The sequence below is a fragment of the Homo sapiens genome, chromosome X (assembly GCF_000001405.40).
Source record: "Homo sapiens chromosome X, GRCh38.p14 Primary Assembly".
Classification (NCBI taxonomy): Eukaryota; Metazoa; Chordata; class Mammalia; order Primates; family Hominidae; genus Homo; species Homo sapiens.
Genome location: NC_000023.11, coordinates 123,306,496 through 123,330,522, shown reverse-complemented (window position 1 = coordinate 123,330,522; position 24,027 = coordinate 123,306,496). Strand labels below are relative to the sequence as shown.

Below are 24,027 nucleotides of genomic sequence, written 5' to 3'. Positions count from 1 at the left end.
TCTTCTCTAATTGTTTTGCAACTGTTTTAAGATTTAACCTGATAAGCAGGCCAAATCCAAGTTTTGGCATTGGCTAAATATTTATTTAATGAGTAACTTACAAATTAAAAGAGGTAGTGCAGTGTAGGGGCAAGAGAACTGTATGAGGAATCAGAAGACTTGAGTTTTATCCTTGCTCTGCCACTTACTAGGATTGAGCAGAGGGTTACATTTAAACAAGTCATATAAATGTCTCCAAGTTTCAATTTATCATCTGTAAATTTGGGATAAAACCTATCTGCTCTGCCTGCCTCCTATAGTGGGTGTCAAATCAGATTATCTATGTGAAAACACTTTGCTTTGGCATCAAAGCACTATATAAACACTACGTGTCAGGCACCTTTCTAAATGGTTTGCATATATTAACTCATCATAGTACAGTTATCACTCTCACTTTACTACGAAAAAATGGAGGCACAGAGAATTGAATAACTTGCCTTGGGTCACAAAGATAGTAAGTGACAGAATCCATGCAGACTGGCTCCAGAGTCCATGCTCTGAAACGCTGTTATGCTGCGTCTCTGAATAGACATTAAAGGTGCAACAAAGCCATAAGGTATATATTACTGTGGTGGAGGATCTCTTCAGAATAGATAACTCCCAGAGAGGCAACCTTTTCAAAAATTAATGTTTAGATTGGTCATTGAATTGAGTAAGGCAGCTGTCCACCAGTGAGGAGAGCTTCATAAGCACAACACAGTAATAGGAATGCTATATTGGGTCAGGCCAATGGTTCATTCACCCTTGTTCACCTAAACCTTCTTATGGAAAGTGCTCTTAATTCTTGAATTCAGGATATACCATCTCTAAATATTCTCTATGTGCCCTACCAACCCTTCATGGTTTCATCTCTCTCTAGTGCTGTCCTTTTCTATGTTAATTCTTATATCTATAAGTTTAGAATGCTTCTCTGGTAGATTAACTATTAAATGGAGATGTGAAAGACAGATTGATACCTAATTGAATTTTTCCCCTAATGTAATCTCAAGGGTTGAAACAGTTAAAAAGAAAAAGAGGTTTGGGGAAAAAATATTGAAAGAATTTTGATTTACCTTATGTATTTGAATATTCACAGGGAAAACCAGAACTTATATCATGACATGAGGAGGTTATGCTATATAACACTATGTTGAAGACCTGCTTATATTTTAAAATTGCACCACATTGAGGCATTTTTATTAACACTCATTGGATATAGAGTACAATATAAACTTAATTTATGCCAAAATCTGATCTATAGGAAACAGTGTTATAGTGGTGTAACAGGCTCTTCTACCTCAGATAGTGGTATGAAATATCATTTTGTGGGAGACTGTAGAAGTTTCCTTCCATAAAAATGATCTCAAACAGAGCTGAATACACTCTTGGAGGATGGGAGCATCTCTAGGGAGAACTTAATACTGATTGGATTATAAATGCTATCATTCCAATCAGGATCTGTATAGTGAAGTATGATAAATTTATCAAAAGACTGGTTAGGAACCAATGAGAAAGGTGATAGATATCTCTGTATTTTAGCATTTGATGTCTTTAAAAAATGTTTTCTATAAATAAATATCATGTTGAAGTTGTTGCTTAATTTAGATCATTTGTTTAATGAAAATTTATTTTCGTAAAATAAATTACGGCAAATTCACTGGATCATTGGAATAAGCTTAAGCAGAAAGCCACACCTTTGAGAAAATGTGTACTTTAATAATAATCACATCATGTAACTGTAGGTACTTTTTTGCCTCTGGATGGAAATACAGCAAAATTGCAGTGGAACTTCTGAAATGTTCTTGTTCATTATCCATCTATCCATTCATTCATCCAACACTATGTGCCAGTTACTCTGTTGGACACTGGAGATATAATAGTGAACAAGATAAATCTAGTCCTTCCCTCATAGAATTTATGGCCTAGTAAGAACACCTTAAATGGCAGAGAAAACAATCATGAGTTGATGGTTTTATGACAATTTTTTGAAAGAGGGAAAAAGAATAAATGAAAGTAACTCTCTATCCTTACCTAGATGTTGCTAAAACTTTTCTTTGAACAATGTTTCCTGAAAAATTGTATAGAAAGTGTTTTAAAGGATACTGTGAATGTGCGTATAGAAGAAAGGAAGATGGAGAAGTATGACATGAAAAGAGAATAGAGTTTTTGAATGATACTAGTTTAGTTTTTCTGAAAGTGTCTAGTAATAATGATTGTTTTTTCTGTAGCATTTTACGCTTTTTAAAGCAATTATACCAACCATGTGATGTAGAGAAAATTTTATTTTCTCCATTATGTAGATGAGAAAACTGAGGCATAGATATTTAAGTGCCCAAGGTCCCACAATTATATAGAATTCAGAGCTCTACCCACTACTTTTCTATTACATAATGCTGAAAAATCCCAGACTGCAGTATAAAGTTCTATAAAATCCAAAAGACTTTAACAGAATATAAGATATCTAAGAAGCCAAAGTCACTAATACAAAAGAAGAAAAACAAAGTATGACAAGGAGGATGTTCTTCTGCTTTGGGCTATTAAGTAGGTCACCCACTAAAAGGCTATTTTGGTATAAAATTTTAGAGGGCATGTAGTACATACACCAACATCACTGACCTGATTCTTCACTTTCAAGATCTAAGAAAATCAAAGGAAGGTATTTTTTTTTTTGTGGGGGGGAAGGGGCAGGTAGATCATTTGTGTAGCTCAAGAGAATGTTAGTTGAGAAACTTGATTTAACCAGGCTAGTGCTGTAGATTTTCTGTGAAGTATGATTCACTAGAGGGTAATGCCGATCTTAACAAGGGGACACTTTGTATTTCTACGATATAGAGTCAGCAGTTTCCCTCCTTCCTTTTCTCCCTTTGTCCTTTCCTCCCTTCCTTCCGTCTCTTCCCTTCTCTTTCCTTTTGTCACCTATTTTTGTTTGCATTTCTCTTCTTATGGGGGCATATCTGACAAATTATTAATATTTAATTTGCTATAAAACAGCTCTCCCAGGCAATAGCTGCTCACTATAATTTCAATCTCTGAAGCTGTTTTGGCCCCTAGGTACACTGGGATTAAATTAGAATGGAAATGTTTCCCTTACATTTTTGTTTATGGCAGCGTGGGCACATTGTTATTAACTGGCAAATTGAAACTTCTAAGGAAAGTGATAAACTTTCTTCACATTTCAGCTTGACTCTACCCTGAACAGATCTGGTTTAGGGTGAAACATTTCTTCTAATATTTTTTAGTCTTAAATTTAAATATCCAAGCTTAATAATGAATATATTTTGGCCCATTGAATTCTATTTTTAAAAGCATAAACATTTTTCTCATATGCCACTTCTTATTTAAAAATGGTCTTGCTCTGTTGCCCAGGCTGGAGTGCAGTGGTGCGGTCATAGCTCACTGCAACCTCTGCCTCCCGGGTTCAAGCGATTCTCGTGCCTCAGTCTCCTGAGTAGCTGGGATCACAGGCACCCGCCACCACGCCCAGTTAATTTTTGTATTTCTAACAGAGATGGGGTTTCACATAATTTTTTTTTTGAGACAGAGTCTTGCTCTGTCTCAAAAAAAATTGTTATTTTAAAGTAATACAAGATCTTATTTCTCCTTTGAGAAATTATGGGACAGTGATAACTTGTTGCCCACATTGTCAGCATGTAATGGGTCTTAAATGAATATTTGTGGAGTGAATGAATTAAAAAGTTATAAAATGGGAAAAAATGGTCTTAAATTGTTCTCTCTCTCTCTCTCTGATCCAGAGGGATAATCTGCAAAAATGTAGACAAATTCAAAACTTGGTGAGTACTGTCCTGACAGTCTGTCTATCCATAGTCATCAAGAATGGGTGGTGATCTTTAGAAGGGTCTGGAAATAGTACATATTCCAGCAATGAGGCTCCTGAAACAAAAACCCTTTCCATCTGCACTGCTTAGTCCCTTGTCTGTTCCCTGTTGGGAAGAAGGTATGGGAAAGGAAGGGGATTACTTTGAAAGTCAGTTGTCTATGAAACAGAGGTGTGGAGGGATATGTTTATCTGATAGGTAGCATTAAATTGCAAATACTTCCAGATTAATCATGGCATGCAATTTTCAACAGCTTAGATTTTCTTCTCTTTTCTTTCTTTCTTTTTTTTTTTTTTTTTCTGCAGCCACTGGGGAGGAAAAAAGGATTAGAGAGACTATCAAAAACTGTTGGCACGTTTAGTCTGTTGGCTACTTAATTTATTAGCAGATATGGGAGCTGACTTAGGTTGATAATTTAACATGTTGGCTGGCGGTGAAATAAATCTCAAACGTACCTGTTCCAAAATTGTGTTAATCCTTTCGACTTCGCAGTCAATCAAGTATCGCTTTTCCTGCCTCCTGTCCATTTCTTCAATGATGCGCCTGAATTCTTGGACGTCCTTTATGTTTCCCACAGACCTTGCTGTTACTTGCCAGTTGTTTTGCACTGCTGCTTCCATAATCGCTTGGAGGATGGAAAATCCTGAAGGAAGGAAAAACAGCTTCAATGATTTAAAAATCTTTCTGTAGGTATTAAAGATTCTACTGAATTTCTAGTCACAGTCCATCAGGTGCCTTTGAACCTTATCCATTATGGAAAGCAGGCTTACTCATAACCTCAGCCTTAACCCTCCAGACAGTTTGCACTTTCATTTTGTTGCAAAGGAAAGAAGATTCTACAACTTTTGGGCACCCCGCATCAAGTGGCTACATGAGAGCTCACAGCTGAATTATATTATCTAATTGTTTTTATTGACATGCACTCTCAAAATATCTATGGAATAAAATCAAGAACTTCTTACAACTGCCTGCAATTTCCTTACTGCAGTTGAAGCTCATTTATTTCATCTTCTATATAAGCATTGTGGCAAATTAGAAATAACTTCAGTAGAGATAGCGCCTCATTATAATATGGCTTCTCCTTACATAGAAAGACTATCCAACAAGGTAAATTATGTCTCCCAAGTAAAATAATTTTATGAAAACCTGAAAAAGACAATCTATAACAAAGATATCATACTCGTGAGCTCTTGATCACCACATTATTAAAAAGTTCAGTCATATTAAGCTTTCCTGAGTTCTTTCCCTTTCTCAATTAAATTTACCAGGAATTCCTGGTTCCTTTTTATCTAATTTACATTAGATAACTGTTAGCTACCATTACCCTGGATCTATATTGAATGAGAAAAAGAGAAAAGATCTGATGCTTGAGTTTTGGGTAACCTTTTTGGAGTTAGGGTTTAAGAAGTTGGGAAGAACAAAATATCTGAAGTATGATCCATAAGAATAGCACAAGAGTTTTCTACATGCTGGTCTTTTAGAGTCTTCATGTCTCTAATATTACATTGTGTCTATAGTTTCGCTTCTGGTTTGAATCCATATCTGAATATAACTTCAACTATAGATATAATTTTATTGGGATATTGCCAAAAGCAGCTCATTTCTTCCCATAAACCTAAATAGTTTTTCATTTATATTCAAGTAATGACTAATGGGAGTGGGTGATAGGGATGATTTGCAAAGCCAAAATGATCCATGCCATAGCAATTTGATGACTGGAGGAGAAGAGAATGGGAGAGGATTGCGATGCCCTTTGAGCATATTCCAGGTTCTGTGCTGTTTCGGGCTCACCCTTTAGTGTAAGCAGGCTACAATTCGGAATTTTCTTCATTGTACCATAGAAAATGGTATTGACATTTGAAGAGCACGCTTCAGGGAGATGGCAGCAGTGACTCAGCCGGTCATTATGACTCCTTTGTGTGCTGGGTGTATGCAGGAAGAAGATCACAAATGAGACCCAAGCACTTGGTAATTTCCAAATGAGCAATTTCAGCACAGGAGCTCAAAATTACAGATCAGAGTAAATTACCATTGCTTTAAATGTTAATTCTTTCTCTTTTTAAACCAACCACGCATATTTATTTCTCAGATTTACATTTTCGTGTGGGTTGTTGATGTGCTCTCTGCTTCAGTGGGAGTTGAGGGGACATGGTAGGCCAAGGCATGGGATTGAGAAATAAACATAGGAAGAAAGAGATTAAGGCAATTGAAAATCTTTCTCAAGCAGTGTACGATAAAGCCTCATTATTTTGAATCTCACTAATTAAGAATTTATGAAACTTCATCAAGGACTGAGTTGAATTTTACTTTTGTACTATTTATGAAGAAAACATTGGCTAAATAATAATGTTAATGAAAGTGGACAGAGTCTTTAATATATTTAAAGTAAACTTTTTTAAAGGCCCTTTAGCAGAATACAGCTGTTCATGTGTTGAATCAAAATAAGCCTTCTCGTAATCTCTACTCATTGGTCTTATTCCACCATTTGGGATGACACAGAGCAAATTTAACTCCTTTTGCATGTGTTAGTCCTTCACATTTTTGAAGGCAGTTAGCATGTTTCCCTTTAACATTCTTTTCCTCAGGCTAAAGACGTCCCAGTCCTTCCACCGTTACTTTTATGGCATGATGACAAGTTCCCTCACTGTTGCTCTCTCCTATGGATATCTGTCAATATTTTATTGATCCTGATAATTCCAGTGTGATCTGATCAGTGTGGACGACAATGAGATTATTGCTTGCTTTGACGTGGGTTGTTATTTTAGCAGCCTTTGCCAATATTTTTAAATACCCAAATTATATTGTTAATTAGTATCAAGCTTGGATTCAACTAAAACGTGTCAGTTCTCTCCATAAAAATCTTTCGTCTGGAAAGACTCACCATCCGTGTATCAAGATTTCTTCCATTCCAATTTGCTTTTATCTCCCTTTGTTTAATCCCTCACCCCATTCCAGTCCCCACTTCTCCCTTATTTTCAAATTCATTCAAATCTGGAAAATGGCCTCACTCACTTATTCAGTACTCCAGGCAGCCACACTTGTCTGTCCACTTAACAGGCACATCTGTCTACACCTGCAGACCTTTCTGAATTATCTTCTTTGTCCATGAAACTTCCTTTACTGACTTCTCATTAACTTCTCCAGAAATGAGTAGATTTAAGTTCATGGTAAATTAATTATAAGCAATGGAGAAATGGGTTTAAAGAATTATGTCACAGACATTTAAAATTTTAAAATAAAACTGCATAAAGAAATTATAGTAAATACGCATAGAATACTATGCTATTGTTTAAAAGACAGCTCAATCTATATATACTAACAAGAAAAGATTTGTACAGTATATATAATATATTGGATAATAGGTAATAATAGAAAAAACAAGCTGTAAAATGGCATTTATGTTATAATTCTATTTTGTAAAGAAACTATATGTTTCTATATGTGTGGAAAAAATCTGAAGGAATTGGCTGTTATCTCTGAGATGTAGGATTACCAAGAACTTTTATTTTCACTGTCATTTAGTTATGTAAAATTTGGCCCTTTTACAAGAAGCAGGTATTATTTTCTGTAAGTACAAAAACAATAAAGATTAAAAAGAAGTACAACTCATGCTGTCCTCTCAGAACATAGGCTTCTGGAAGACATAGATGATAGATGAGAGCTCCTTTGTAGGCTGCATACTGCCACAAATGAGAGGCATTTTACTAAACACTGACTTACAAATCTTTTTATACTTTTGTTCTTTGAACCATGTGAATGTATTACCTATTCAAAAATTAAGTAGAAAAAGCACACTGCTTTTTAATGAGGGCATGTCTGAAGCTTCCTGGGCTATAAGCCTTGCTCACATTTTTTGAGCAAGTCAGAACCGTGGCTGAATACTGCAGTGTCTTTTACCATGCAGAATTTCTCTGTGTTTGCTTAAGCATGTGGCTGTGTACTATAGAACCCTGGGGGGAATGGTCACCTCAGCTCCGTACCTGTCACTGAGCAGCCCAAGAAAAGCTTTTATTTGTTTTCATACCTAATTTATTGTAGTTTGACTGTTTCCTGATGAAGCTGACCAAAGAGAGTAAATATGCGCTTGAGGGAGAAAAAAAAAGAGAAAAATTTGACACAGGAGGCAGAGAAAAAAACAGGCATTGGTGCTTGTAGGAGCAGAGGTACGTAACAAACCCTTGGCTTTGTAAAAATAAGCCTGCTGTTTTAGCAGCTTCAGAATTGTCATCCACTCTCTGTGAGCTTTAACGTGCCCAATTTTGCAACACTAAAAACTACTTTTACTTGAGCAGCAAATTCTCTCATTCTGATTCCAGACTGCTGTCGCTATCCACTTTCCTCTTCTTCCTCATTTTAAAGAATGGTAGTTACCATATAGGTAAGTGGGTGAATGCTAGATTGTCATCTGCATTTTACCAATATAATGCAGTTTGTGGCAAGGAGTGGGAAGGAAATTATGGATGAAGAACTGGGCTGCAGCTATGACCAATTTAATCCTACTGGAGTGGTGGTTGGGCTACTCTTGGCAAATAAGGTGTGATAATCTTGGCAAAGGGTAGTGTGGTGGATGCTGTGCTGTACCACCCAGATCCTCCTTCAGCACCATAGAACTTATTCCTTCAGTTGTTGGAAAAGTTGCAGCTTAAGGTTATGACCCTTTCCTGGGGTATCCTGCATCCAATGACCGATTGCCCCAGGATAGAAAGGCACAACCCTCATACCCCCAGCGAGGTAACTCTAAGGGCAAGTCATCCTAGCTTCAGAGCTCCCGGAAGGGAGCTGAGGGTTTGTTATGACTGCACCATAGCTCATTTTCTCTTTGTGCCCTCACCTGCATCCTTCTCTTCTTCCCACAATTGCTGACAATGAGAGTACCAGCCAATAAACTTCTTGCATGTGAATCTCTATTTCAGTTTATTTCTGGGGGATTCATCTGTGACTATGAGGTTGATCTCATGACAGGGATAGCATCAGATACAAAAAGTTCTCAAATATACAATTGTCAAAATCATTTTCACAGGGGAAAGAAGGCCAGGATTTTGTTAAATGTATAAACAAGTGAAAACCCGCTCCATGCTGAACACATTTAGTATTTCATCTGAAAACACAGAAGAACAATAAGTAGGATATTGACATATGGAAGTTCATAATAAAGATACCCAAGAAAATATAGTTGAGGATAATTTTGTTCCTGTTGTGCATCTTCCAGCAGGGACTATCACCACCTGCTGTCAGCTGTGAATCTGCACCAGATCTCTCAGAGCCACAGCATTTGTACTTCTGACGGGGTCTTTTAACAGTCCCCCAAATGATGGAAGTTGCTGATATTGATGAACAGGCTTCTCATGAGTGTTGACATTTATAGCAATTTGTGCCTGGCTGTGATTCTCAGAGGGTTTGCCATAAAGCCCCAAAAAGGTTTACTGGCCCTCTCGAAATGTTCTATAGAGAGGCAAGTTGGTCTTTCCCAGAGGGTAATTCAATACTTTTCCAGTGGCCTGTGCTAGAAATTACCTTGTCAATATTTTCAGGTTGATAAAGAGAGGCTTTAAGTGGCCCATGAAAACTCCTGTAGCTTACAATTATTAGACACAGAACCACAGTATTACAGGCTAGTACTCTTACAGATGACTCAGAGAAGTAGGATACAATTTTTAAAGCTGTGTAACTCTTTTCAAATGAAATTTTTATGGAAGCCCAATAGCTTAGACAGGTAAAAGTGGAGCTTCTCGGGTTTGAGAGGTGGTGCTTAGACAGGGGAAGTGACTTGCCAAATATCACACAGTTTAGAATCTGAAGCGAGACTGGAATCTAAGCAAGCAGAGCTGGAGCTAAGGTGAGGCAGGTGAAGCACCTAGGGTAAATATTCAAGAAGGCACTTTCTGAGGGTTGCACAAGTGCAGCCGCACTTACCTTGCCCTAGTATTGACCCTGTAAGCAAGTCTCTTGGCTTCCAATTTAGTGGTCTTTCAAGTGCATCATGTCCAACTTACTTTATAGCTCTCATTTTAAGATGACGCTTAGCAACATTTTGGTGTGGACAGAACTTAATTCCTCATGTCCTTTTCTCTTCTCTTTTTGATGTCACACAACATCCTGATGTTCGCTTCCCTGTCTCCCCAGTACCTTGAGTAGGCCTATCACTACCAATCCCAGTCTTTTTCTTCCTCTTTCCCCATATTAAAACTTTCCTATCCTGTGCTCAATTCCCTCAGCACCCTTCCCTTTTCCAGGTGCCAGCGTAAAAATAGCTAATGGCATAACATGTTATCCTTTCAGCGAACACACGTACATTTTAGCAGTGACCTTAACATGAATGAGTTTGGAAGGAAAACAAAAGAGAATGTTAACATTGTTTTTGAGTCTGCCCATCTTATGGGGTCATTCAGATGATGAATTTGAAAGTTGGTGATGTGCTTGATGATCTTACGGAGTTTAACAAATGAACAGCTTGTAGATATGGGGTATCTCAGGGGCCAGTGGAGTGGGAAGACAATGGTGAGACAGGTCCACAGAAGGTTAGTGTCCATTCCTGTCTATGTTACTCAACTGAAATCAGCTGAAAAAACCATTTCTTTCTTTCCTTTTCTGTGTCTTCACCTACCTCTGTGGCTTTCAATGCTGGTTGCACATTACAGTTACCCTAGGAAGTATGAAAAATGGATGGCCAAGGCTTACTCTGGAGCAATAAAATAATGATTTCTCAAAGTGATTCCTGGGCTTTGTTTTGTTTTATTTTAATCTCCCTGGGGGATTCTCATGTACAGCCAGAGTGGAGAATCACTGACCTATTCTAAGGGCTACCCAATACAAATGTGGCATATTAAAGCAGGCCTTTTTTTTTTTTTTTTTCCTGAGGTGTTCTTCATGACCAGCAGAAAGGTTCTGGGTGAGAAAGGCATGTTTCAAGAAGGGCCATATACTACCTAGACATCAGCAAATAAAGACACAGAGGCAAGAAGGGAGGGCTCAGGCCAGGTTTACAAATTGCTTCTTCCTGTGGTAGATGAAGAATCTGGAAACCTTGAGTACAGTATGTGGGAAGCAAACCCAGATGTACTCAAAGCACTTTACAAATATCTTTCCTTTTCTGAGGTAGCATCTGGGTGTTTCTCTCTAAGTATAAAATTAATATGCTCAGTTTGGACATTTGGAAAAACACAGAAAGTACAAAAATTAAAAGAAAAAGTATAGGTGACTTTATCCCTCTTTACATTCTGTTTTATATAAATAGACTTCACACTTTTTATTTTAGCAAAATGGATTGTAATGCAGTCATTGATCACTTAATGATGGGGATACGTTCTGAGAAATGCGTTGTTAGGTGACTTTGTCATTGTGCAAACATCATAGAGTGTATTCCACAAACCTACATGGAATAGCCTCCTACACACTTAGGCTATATGGCATAGCGTATTGCTCCTAGGATACAAAACTGTACAGCATGTTACTGTACTGAATACTGTAGGTGATATGGTTTGGCTGTATCCCCACCCAAACCTCAATTTGAATTGTATCTCCCAGAATTCCCCTGTGTTGTTGGAGTGGCCCAGGGGGAGGTAATTGAATCACGGGGGTTGGGCTTTCATGTGCTATTCCTGTGATAGTGAATAAGTTTCACAAGATCTGATGGGTTTATCAGGGGTTTCTGCTTTTGCTTCCTCCTCATTTTTCCTTGCCGCTGCCATGTAAGAAGTGCCTTTTGCTTCCTGCCATGATTCCGAGGCTTCCCCAGCCATGTGGAACTGTACGTCCATATTAAACGTCTTTTTGTTCCCACTTTCGGGTATGTCTTTATCAGCAGTGTGAAAATGAACTAATACAGTAAATTGGTACCAGTAGAGTGGGGCGTTGCTGAAAAGATACCCAAAAATGTGGAAGCGACTTTCAAACTGGGTAACAGACAGAGGTTGGAACAGTTTGGAGGGCTCAGAAGAAGACAGGAAAATGTGGGAAAGTTTGGAACCTCCTAGAGACTTGTCGAATTGCTTTGACAAAAATGCTGATAGTGATATGAACAATAAGGTCCAGGCTGAGGTGGTCTCACATGGAGATGAGGAACTTGTTGGGAACTGGAGCAAAGGTGACTCTTGTTATGTTTTAGCAAAGAGACTGGTGGCATTTTGCCCTTGCCCTAGAGATCTGTGGAACTTTGAACTTGAGAGAGATGATTTAGGGTATCTGGCAGAAGAAATTTCTAAGCAGCAAAGCATTTAAAACTTGGGTGCTGTTAAAAGCACTCCATCTTTAAAGGGAAACAGAGCATTAAAGTTCAGAAAATTTGCAGCCTGACGATGCAGTAGACAAGAAAAAAACATTTGTTGAGGAGAAATTCAACCGGGCTGCAGAAATTTGCATAAATAGCAAGGAGCCTAACGTTAATCCCCAAGACCATGGGGGGAAAATGTCTCCAGGCCATGTCAGAGACCTTCACAGCAGCCCCTCCCATCACAGGCCCAGAGACCTAGGAAGAAAAAGTGGTTTTGTGGGCCAGGCCCAGGGTCCCCGTGCTGTGTGCAGCCCAGGGACTTGGTGCCTTGTGTCCCAGCTGCTCCAGCCATGGCTGAAAGGGGCCAACGTAGAGCTCAGGCTGCAGCTTCAGAGGGTGGAAGCCCCAAGCCTTGGCGGCTTCCATGTGGTGTTGAGCCTGTGGCAGCACAGAAGTCAAGAATTGGGGTTTGGAAACCTCTGCCTGGATTTCAGAAGATGTATGGAAATGCCTGGATGCCCAGGCAAAAGTTTGCTGCAGGGGTGGGACCCTCATGGAGAACCTCTGCCAGGGCAATGCGGAAGGGAAATGTGGGGTCAGAGCCCCTACACAGAGTCCCTACTGGGGCACTGCCTAATGGAGCTGTGAGAAGAGAAGCACCATCCTCCAGATCCCAGAATGGTAGATCCACTGACAGCTTGCACCGTGCACCTGGAAAAGCCGCAGACACTCAACACTAGCCCATGAAAGCAGCTGGGAGGAAGGCTGTACCCTGCAAAGCCACAGGGGTGGAGCTGCCCACGACCATGGGAACCCACCTCTTGCATCAGTGTGACCTGGAGTCAAAGGAGATCATTTTGGAGCTTTAAAATTTGACTACCCTGTTGGATTTTGGACTTACATGGGCCCTGTAACCCCTTTGTTTTGGCAAATCACTCTCATTTGGAATGGCTGTATTTACAAAATACCTGTACCTCCATTGTATCTAAGAAGCAACTAGCTTGCTTTTGATTTTACAGGCTCATAGGTGGAAGGGATTTGCCTTGTCTCAGATGAGACTTTGGACTGTGGACTTTTGGATTAATGCTGAAATGAGTTAAGACTTTGGGGGACTGTTGGGAAGGCATGATTGGTTTTGAAATGTGAGGACATGAGATTTGGAGAGGCCAGGGCAGAATGATATGGTTTGGCTGTGTCCCCACCCAAATCTCAACTTAAATTGTATCTCCTAGAATTTCCCTGTGTTGTGGGAGGGGCCCAGGGGAGTTAATTAGATCATGGGGGCTGGTTTTTCTCATCCTATTCTCATGATAGTGAATAAGTCTCAAGAGATCTGATGGGTTTATCAGAGGTTTCTGCTTTTGCTTCCTCCTCATTTTTTCTTGCCGCCACCATGTAAGAAGTGCCTTTTGCCTCCCGCCATAATTCTGAGGCCTCCCCAGCCATGTGGGACTGTAAGTCCAATTAAACCTTTTTTTGTTCCCAGTTTTGGGTATGTCTTTATCAGCAGCATGAAAACGAACTAATACAGTAGGCAACTGTAGCACAGTGTTAAATATTTGTGTATCTAAGCATATCTAATCATAGAAAAGACACAGTAAAAGTATAGTATTATAATTTTATGGGACCACTGTCATATATGGAGTCTGTCATTGACTAAAATGCCATTATGTGGCGCATGACTGTATTTGTGTCTTGCCTTTAAAAAATCTAGCATTATATCATGAACATTTTCTTGTTATTAGACATTTTCAAACATGAGTTTTAATGATGACATAGTATTCCAACCTTTAGACATACTATAACTTATTTAACTATTCTGCAACATGAACATTTCAGTGTTTTCCAATCTCTCCTTATTATGAATAATGCCGTGCTGACAACACTCATACAGCATCTCTAATTATTTTCATAGAATTAATATCTCAAAGTAGGAATACTGGGCCAAACATTTACGGACATGTTTAAGGCTCTTGATACATACTGCCAGATTGCCCTCCAGAAAGGTTGTCCCACTTTGTGTTCCCATTAGCAGGTTATGAGAGTACTTGTCTCTCTGTCCCCTTGCCAGCACTGAACAATATATTTGCCCATTTGGTAGGTGAATAAAGAGGATTCTCTTTTTTTGTTAGCATTTCTTTATTAGTAAAGCTAGTGACTTTTTTATTTTTTTGTCCATGTTTATTCATCATTTCGAGTACTGCCTGTTTATTTCCTTTGTCCAACTTTTTAGTGATGTTAATGTCTTTATTATTGATTTATAAGAGCCTTTATATATTGACATTAAGTATCTTGACATATGCCATATATTTAATCCAGTGTATTTTACTTTTAATATTTATGATACATTGTCATGAATAAAAGTTTGACATTTTAATGAAATTAATATTCTTTTTCATCAAAAAATCACGTGAATGACGAATAAAATTTGCTTTTTTTTTTTTTTTTTAGAGATGGGGTCTTGCTATGTTGCCCAGGCTGGTCTGAAACTCTTGGGCTCAAGCAATCCACCTGCCTTGGCTTCCCAAAATGCTGGGATTACAGGTGTGAGCCACTGTGCCTGACCAAAATTTGCTCTTCTACTCTTATTCTAGTGCTCACATGGGCTTTAAATCCAAACTTATGCCAACCACTCTTTCCATTTCTTGCAATGTCTTTGGTCTCCATGGAATTTCCAATAAATTTCCCTTGCATATTGTGGCCAAGTAAAGCAATGGAGAAGCTAGATATGGAGTGTGAAGGTGGTTTCTGAGACAGAAGTAAAGAAAAAATAGAGGCAGAGGAAAGAGAAAGATGATGAGCTCAATTTAGTTATTTCATGGTATGTTTTCCCATATCTCAGAAACCTGATATACAAAAATCTGAACTCAGAGCCAGTACTTCAGGCTATTACTATTCATATTACAAAGTATACTTTCATTTAAAAATAATTCATGGAAAGACTTCTATAGCACATTTGAATCCACATTTTGTTGTTTTGTTGTTTGTTTTTGTTTTAACTTGATTTAAACCCTTTTATTTTCCATCAAAATCAATATAGTGATTGTCTAAATTTGAGACGCTAATACAGAAACTGTTCTGTGTGTGAAGAGTTTGATATGGGAAGATCAAGAACCCCTTTATATTTGCATATGGATGTCAGTCTGTGAATTTTATGGAACAAGGTAAAGACAAATATTCACCGACATTCAATCCTTAATTTACCGTTAGCAAATTAATATTTCCCTGAGACTTCCATTCCTTATAATTGTATTTGTTTAAATTTTCCTTTAATTAAGAGCTGACCCTCTGCAAATCTTCTTCTCCTTGCAGCTGCATTATTAGGATGAGTACTTGGCTAATTTGTGGAATCATTGAACAGAAGGTGACCCCAGTTTCCCAGTTGTTTGTGCTTTTTCTTCTCTCCCAATACAAATTGTCTCTCAATCCAAACGAAACTCTTATACTAGACTGTCCATGACTGATAACAGCTTCAACTGTGACCTCCTTCATGAAGGATGTATGTTTTAATATTAGAACCAAAGACTTACAATACAGGGGCAAATTGTAGACAGCCGTAAGTGATTGATCAAGTATTGTTTGGCAACTTGAGCTAACAGGTACCCCAATATCTTACTTGAGGCATTCCAAGTACTCCAATAGCTCACTCCAGGAGGCAGCTACTGACTACTAGTCAAGTGTAACCTTGGCTCTGAAGCTGGCAATGCATGTAATCCTGCCTTTTCCATTTTTCTCTTTCATCTTGTTCCTTATTTGAACTTTGTCTCCCTGTTGGTGAATTATGTAGCTCCATTCTCCTCTCTGTGAGCTAAGAAAACATGCCCAAATAGATATGTCAGTTTCATTGAGTGAAAGTAAACTTGCTTTGCATTGTCAGCTGAAAGGAAATTTAGAAGACCATCTGGAGTAGATTTACTTAACATCTGGGAAGAGCAGAATAGGCAAGCCTCTGATCCTCACCCACACAATATCTGATATAAAAAATAAAAAAAATAAAAATAACAGAAAGCAACTGGGGTTTGGATTGAAGGGGATGCTACAATGATTGTGTGTAGTTCCTTCATGTTTCTGTTTGGTATCTAAATAATTGTTCTGGGATAGACTGCCTGCGATGCAAACTCACAGAGGGCAGGAGTCATCTCAAAGTTTCTCCATGGACTGTTGAGCTCTTAACAGATGCCATGAGAGGATTAATCATGCCCATGAATAGGGTTTCTTACATGACATTTCCTCATTCGGCATCTTAATCCCTTTGAAATCCGTAATTTCCAGCTCTGATCTTGTGACTGCGTCTCCTAGAGAGCAAGTAGTGAGTGACATGGATGTTAGTAAGCACTTTATAGATACCCGGGGCAGAGAGCTGACCATAGATCACAACCAGAGAATGCACTTGCCAGCCCTAGTTGGGTGGCAGTGGGGGGAAGGCCTTATGCATGATTAAAAGGGGGCTTCACTTATGGGTTGGAGGAAGGAGTGCTACCAGTCAGCCACAGTACATCTTCTTCCCAGGTCCCATTTATTCCACATGGAACCTAGTGACTACAAAGAAGAAGATGACCACCCACCCTGCTGCCCCTTCTCCAGCAGAAGATGAACTTTGAAGAGATTCCCAGAAGTGAGTATATTTTATATTGAGCATCCATACCCTGAACTTCTGTGCAGAGTAGTTCACATTGTGGCCTGTGCCTATGGACTTGTAAAGTGAACTGACTGAAGTGAGACTTGAGCTCAGAAAGTATGTGTTTAGGTTCCACTAAGCAAAAGGCTTCTCATCAGGCAAGTCACTTATCTGGGAACATTCTTCAGCATTCTCAATTTTTAAAAAGCAAGGCCAAGATAAACCTCTTAACATTTCTGAGTTCTGGGTGTGAGGTATGAATGATGGTTACCAGTGAGAAGGAAAAGGGGGAAGGAAGTGGGGGTGAATGTATGCCAAAGATGAAAAGTGTCTGGATCTGAGTGCAAAGGACTGTAGCTTATTCTGCCTGCTGTGCCTCCAGGAGTGCTGAGACTCCTTGATCCTAATACCATTGGAGGGCTGTCAAAGGTAATATTAAGGGCAAACTCTTGCCTAGAGGGTACAGAGGAGCCAAAGATACAGTCCTGAGGACAACAGAGAACATGCTGTTCTCTTGCGGAAGACAAGTTCTTTTTGACTTAATACTGTGGTTTAAAATCTGCTTGGGAAACACCCAAAATGGGGTTCAAAACTCACAAGATAAATAAGTATTTTCATGTGCCATCCACCATACTAAAGAAACCCACGTAAAACACCCCCAAGATCAACTCACTTTGATTAGTTGTTTACTTTCAATTGAGTTTTTTCCAATGGGGATATGAGAGTGAATTTGGCATTATGGAGGCGGGTTATAGGCTAATGTCAAGGCCTTGGGTTCCAGAAAGAGTGGCTGAATCTTGTGTGAGCTGCAGAGAAGTCAGGCTGTTTGTGGTGGCCAGAGTTCTTCCAAGTTTCTCAGAATTCTCAAATATGAGAGCCAGAATTAGTGATGGTCCCAATCTCTTCATTGTGCCAATAAGAAACTGAAGCCCAGAAAGACAAAATGGTTTGCCCCAATGATAGATCCCAAACTTGACCATGACCACAATACTTGTCTTCTTTTAACTTTCAATATTAATGTAAAACAAAGTTTCTGTGGCATTTTCTGAATAAAGATTCATTTTGATATAGACTAAAAGTTAAAATCCAATAGGAATGTCATGATGGATATATCCCTTGCACTTTGCCTACAACACATCTGTGACTTCCTTAAGGGCTCTTCTCCTTTCCTTCAGTACCTTTGCATGGAGGAGTGAGAGAGCCCACAAACAAGTTTGTGTGTTAAAGCATATCTTCCTCCTCAAATCTAGCTGGGACTCCCATTTGGCACTGAGGCCCACTCTAATCTACGCAGGCTCCAAAGCCTTTGGCTTGGTTCACCCTGCTTACTCACACAAATTCTCATGCAAGGCACAGCCTTCTCCAGCATTTTCCATCTCTCATGATTTACTCTGGTTGCCCTCCACCACAAAGCCTCACTTCCATCCCACAAACCTTTCATTCATTAAGACTCACCTTAAAATACGTATCACTGAACAGATCATCTGATTGAGATAGTGGGAAACGAAGATTCCGAGCTCTCACATCCATCTTCTATTAGCCTGAGAATCTTAGGCTATAGATGGTTACTCCCATCTCTGAGGGATTATAGCTGAATGCCAAATTTAAATCATTTTTTGACTAAGAGATTTGTGGTTTTCTTGTATTGTGATGTATAATGTTTTTACTCTCATCCCTCAGGTTTTAAATTGAACTATTTTCCCTTGGGCTGTCAAGGCGGGGTCAAGGATAGAAATGAACATTTATTGTCTACTTTGGGCTGAGTACAGAGCTAACAATGTATACACATTATCACGTTTAATTCTTCCAATCTTAAAGAGTACATAGTTATCCCAAATAACCAGGTGAGGAAATTGAGGCTCAGAGACGCACATGTTCATGAAGAAAAACACTTAACTAGTCTGGATTCTAAGTTCGCACTCTTATTTCTTCCCCCCATCAGTGACTGAAATTATTCCAACATGTGCAGTTGTCCAGGAAAGTTGGAATCATACATTTTTCTATGTGTTACTCCATGGCAGGGAGGGCTCTAGAACACATTGTTGTGTAAATACCTGAAGATGCCCAGGATTTTTCAGGCTCACAGGGATACAGGCCATGCAATCAATTGTAAGTCAGTGCTTAAAAGAAACACAGTCATGGTTCTCTGGCTAATGGTATGTTTCCTGTCAGTTAATCACCAACTTTGTAATTGAGCTGGAGTTCCTAGACTGGGCAGGTTTTATTATTGTTTGTGTCCTTACTTATTCTTCACACTCTCTCAGATATCCCTGCCTCCAAAGCAGCGGTTTCTTCTGACTTTCTTATTTCTGTCAAATTTCCTAGTTACAAAATTTGAATACTATCTTGGAGCCTTCCACTGCCCTAAGAGTACACAAAGTCAAATATATTAATTCTTTGTGTTCTGCCACATTCTTTACGCTCTAATTAGTACCAGCTATTCTGAAGTTATTATTGGTACATGCTTGGGCTACTCCAGCAGTCCTCTTTCATGCAAGCTTCTCACTAAGGTCAGCTTTAACTTCTTCACTCTTTTGATTATGTTACAGCCATGCTCATTCTCAAAAACTTTCCAACCTTTTTCTTTGCCCATAGGAGAAAGTTCAGAGAAGGCATTATAAATGTTTGAACTTGCGTGCAATCTAAGATTTACCTTCTAAAAAAGTCTTGGGGACCTCATTAAAATACATGAGCATGTGGTTGTTTTTTTCCATTCTGGGACTCAGTTTCCTCATCTGTAAAATGATATTCTATTCCTGGGAGTCCCATAAGGATTGTATAAATAGGTACTGTCAGAATTTGCAGGACAGATCAAGAGAATTTCTTTTTTTTTTTTTTTTTGACAGATTCTCACTGTGTTGCCCAGGATAGAGTGCAGTGGCATGATCTCGGCTCACTGCAACCTCTATGTCCTGGGTTCAAGAGGTTCTCGTGCCTCAGCCTCCTGAGTAGCTGGGATTGCAAGTGTGTGCCACCACACCTGGCTAGTTTTTGTATTTTTAGTAAAGACAGGCTTTCGCCATATTGGCCAGACTGGTCTTGAACCCCTGTCCTCAAGTGATCCGCCCGCCTTGGCCTCCCAAAGTGTTGGGATTACAGGTGTGAGCCACCATGCCTGGTTGAGAATTCTATTTTGATAAGAGACAAAAGGAGGCTAGAATTTAGAAAAAAAGGAAAGATAATATGAAAGGAGGAGAGATAGAGAAAATATATTTCTAAAGATTTCTGCTCCCTTACCCTGATTGTTCCCAAATAATATTTCACTTGGAAATTAACACTTTGTCTAGAGCTGTGGAGCATAAAGCAAAGAGATGTAAGCAAAGCCAGCTCACCATTTGATCTAGTCTTCTTTGCCATTGATGGCATAGATTACTAAGAAGGTTGGCTGGCCAAGATGGAGGGAAAAGTCTAGATCTCTGGATGAGAAGTAAGCTGACTGGCACTAGCAGTCATCAAAGTCATGACTTTGGCTTCATTTAACCAGGGGATATACCCAGCTGAGCTAACTATAATATTTGCAAAGAACAAACAACCACATGGCAGTGACTGAATTTAGGAGTGCTTCAGCAAACTAGAATCTGGGGCTGGAGAGTTTACAGGGGGAAAGCCCTGAGTCACTTAGAGTTAAGATGACAACTCTTGAGATGGACTTCTGGGAAACCATACTGGCTAGGAATTTATTTGAATAAAATGAATCTAATTATAAATCACATAGCTAGCCATCATAATGACTGGGTCAGTGCAGGGACTAGTTGGCCATGCCCAAAGAGCTTCTATGCTCATTCAGGCAAAGTACTCATTGACAGAACTTAACAAAATGGTTCAGTTCCTCTTGGCTGGGCATCTGATCCCCTTGGCCAGTGTCTTAAGTCTTATGTATCATTTTGAGGAAAATGGAGTTGTCAGGTCCTGTGAAGATGAAAGTATTTATTAAGCTCTCCAGGAGAGTTTAGTAACCTGCCTAGGTGGGCAGGGATAGTGGATAAGAGGGAAAAAGTTAATGAGGACTACTCCTTTAGCTTGGAGACCCCACCAGAGCCAGCAATAGGCCAGCCCAGCAAGACTTGTTTCTACACAGCCACTGGGAAATGTAGGTGTGGGGCCCTTCTGGATCCCCAAGCTGTCCTACTTTTAAAGGCATCTTAAATTTGCCAGTGTTTTTTAAAACACTGTTTGACAACCCCCTTAGGCCATAAAACATGTATATATTTTGGATCAAAACCACAAAATCATAATGCTTTGGAATCTTCTTAGGGAAAACTCCCCATCTGCAGTGTTTAACTCTGTAAATATCAACATAACAGAGCATCCCTCAAAACAAATACAAATGTTCTTTGAAGTTTATTAGCTATTATTTGAGCAAAGAACACAATCAGCAGCAATGCTAAAGAGGAAAGGATTCAAGAATTACCTTTAGAGAGAAACGAGAAACAAGGCAGTTAGTTTCTCTGGAAAACTTATGGCTTTTTTTTTTTTTTCCAGAGTATCTCTCTGTCACCCAGGCTGGAGTGCAGTGGCACGATCTTGGCTCACTGCAACCTCCACCTCCCAGGTTCAACCTCCACCTCTCGGGACTACAGGCATGTGCCACCAGGCCCTGTTAATTTTTTTGTATTTTTAGTAGAGACAGGGTTTCACCACGTTGACCAGGCTGGTCTTGAGCTCCTGACCTCAAGTGATCCACCTGCCTCAGCCTCCCAAAATGTTGGGATTACAGGTATGAGCCACTGCGCCTGGCCTGAAAATCTATGTTTAAACAACTCCAGGAGTTATACGCCTTATGCCTCAGAGGAGAAATGGGCTTGCTCTGCCTGGCATGGCACTGATGCACTGATGAAATCTGGGTCCTCTTCAAGGGGGTCATTGCTCTCCACTGAGGAGGTAAATAGCGCAAAAGGCATATTTCCTATAACCTTAAAGTTGTGGCAACTGCCCAGCTTAGCTTGCCCCACTTGGATAGAAGATTGTTTTTCTTAGCATGAAATAAATGGATTGTGGCTTGGATGATGTAGCTGCTTCCGTTGTCTCAACCACTGATGCAGATCACAGCATGAGTGATGTGGCGGCAGCAGCCATCCAGAACCACTATGAAAGTGGGTGCGATGAATGGAGTGGCTGGATACGAAATGAGTTTGGCCTGCATGATTGGCTTCAGGTGCCCAGGAAGGCTTTTTTCCAGTAACCCAAGTCCTAAGAAGAATACTCTACACTAAGGTTCACATTTGTCACACCCTCTGCACAGCCCTGGTTACCCTAAAAATTCTTTTAGCCTTAATATGAAAGGATGCTATTGTTGACTGCCAAGAAGAGAGGTTGATGTGCCACAATGTCTTATTTCAAGCAGCCAAGTCGGGTCTAACTCATTTGGGAAATGAGCATATGTTTTTGCTACTTAAAGTGTGGCCTCTACATCAGCATATCAATTACAGAGAAGACCCTAAAGATGCTCTACTTGCTACTTAAAGTATGGTCTATGGATCAGCAGCATTGGCATCACCAAGGCTGATTGTTAGAACTGCATACTCTTGGGCCCCACTCTAGACTTAATGAACCAGAATGTACATTTTAACAAGCTTCTCAGGTGATTCATTAGCCCATCAAAATTTGAGAAGCACTGGCCTAGTCATTCTTGTATAACGACTGAGAACTACGCTTTGGCTGGTTAACACAGATTGGTAATTCAAGAGCAGGAAAGGCCCAGGCTGCAGTGGAGATTATGGATGGGACATGAACAGTGTAGGGCTAGCAGGGGACCAGGACATGATTTGGCAAAGTTTAGAGAGTGACCAACTTGCTCAACCTAGGCCCAAGTCAAAGCTGTTAACATGCTGAAAAATTTATGTAGATGGATCTAGGACATACTGAGTTGCAAGTCAGGGTCTTCACTACTGGAGATATTCCAAACAAGGCAGACCCAGGGAAAATCAACACTACTGGGCTGGAAAGAACTTTTCAGTACTCAGTCCAAATGAGCAGCACAATCTCATCTATTAACCTGTTGTCCGTTGCCTTTCCTATCAGCCATGGAGGCTCACAAAGGTCTGTAGCCAACGAATTCTTGGCACCGAGACTACAGCGCACAGTGGCTTCCCACACAGGTAGGTAGGAAGGGCTGCATGTAGTGAAGATGCTGGACTGAATCCTAGAGTAGGGAGGGGCAAGAGATCCAGAGGACAGTCATCAGTCCTATCTGCCTGGGCATCTGATATGAAACTCTAAAACCTGCTCAGAGGTGGGGAAAGGACAGTTAAAGTCATCAGAGGAAGAACTGTAGAATTGCTTCCCCTTAGTTGTGTCTCTGCCCTGCTTGAAGTGCTGCTATTTGCTTCCAGTTTTTTAAATGCTCCCAAAGTTTTGCCTCCAGTGATTGTTCCCAAAGAATACATTCCCTGAATCCCATATCAAATCCTACCAACTCAAAGCATCTAGTTTTTGTTCTCCTTGGACCAACCACAGAATCCACATGACAATAGAAAGAGAAATGTTATCTCCTATTATCATCTTCCCTGTCCCTCCCTTCTGCCCCAATTTAGTCAGCAAGTGTTATGGAGCTGTGCAAAATTTTATAGCTGATGGAGTATTTACATTGATGAAAATTCTGAAAGTGGCCTTCCAGGGGCCCCAAGGTTGTTTCAAGGGTAAAGTTGCTGTGACAACTTTGTCCTGGCTTTGCCTTGATGGTGGTGGCATGGAAATGAAAGACTTGTAAACTGTCTCTTGTCCCTAGAGCCTGACAGTCTCCTGTGCCATTTTAATTTGAGCTTTTTGGATTGGAACAGGATGAATGAGCAGGGGAGGTTAATTATCCTAATTAGAAAAGAAGTGAAGCCATGGCCCTTTTAGGTCAGACATTTGGACAAACCTCCCCTGGCTGCAAGCTTTCGGCATTAGATAGTTGAGTGCCACAGGATGCACAAAGCATCTTCCCCAATTCTCTGCCAAAGTCCCTGGAGCAAGACAAAGAAGAATTATTTTCAGAAAATGGTGTGTGATCAGCTTGTGCCCCAGGGCTAGAGAGAGGGTTATCTGGAGGTGGCAGATATGTGGGCACAGCTGGATGGGTACAAGTATGTTGGTTCAACCCTAGGCTCCCCTACTCTGTCTGTGGTGCCAAGAAAGCTCAATGTAGCTTGGAGAAATACTGCTGTTGTGATCATTTCGAAAGATATGCATCCTCCCCTGAGCCTTTTGACATTCCTATCTTCAGCTGGCTGAGGCTGTGATTATATCTTTTTGGAAGGTAAGCTTCTCTGGCCAGAGGTTGCTAGTATTTCTTGAATCAATATTTTGCTGTTGGATTTATTGATTCCCAGGTGCAACACCCCTCTCTTCTTCTACTTTCCAAT

The 24,027-nt window shown here is 39.9% G+C and overlaps 1 protein-coding gene across 2 annotated transcripts in view, besides 1 other annotated feature; it reads right to left on the bottom strand.

Annotated features, from left to right (window-relative positions):
- The window catches only part of GRIA3 (glutamate ionotropic receptor AMPA type subunit 3), a 306,638-nt gene that overhangs the window by 160,393 nt on the left and 122,218 nt on the right, over positions 1–24,027 (bottom strand). For both annotated transcript variants that reach the window (NM_000828.5, NM_007325.5), the window contains exon 4: positions 4,310–4,497. In NM_000828.5, the coding sequence (NP_000819.4) occupies positions 4,310–4,497 (188 nt within the window). The remainder of the gene's footprint in view (positions 1–4,309; positions 4,498–24,027) is intronic.
- Positions 11,893–12,433: an enhancer, noted in NCBI's record as "H3K4me1 hESC enhancer chrX:122451941-122452481 (GRCh37/hg19 assembly coordinates)". NCBI's record gives its function as "activates a minimal SCP1, AML or CMV promoter by ChIP-STARR-seq in primed H9 embryonic stem cells {active_cell/tissue: H9 hESC(primed)}" and the evidence as "EXISTENCE:reporter gene assay evidence [ECO:0000049][PMID:30033119]".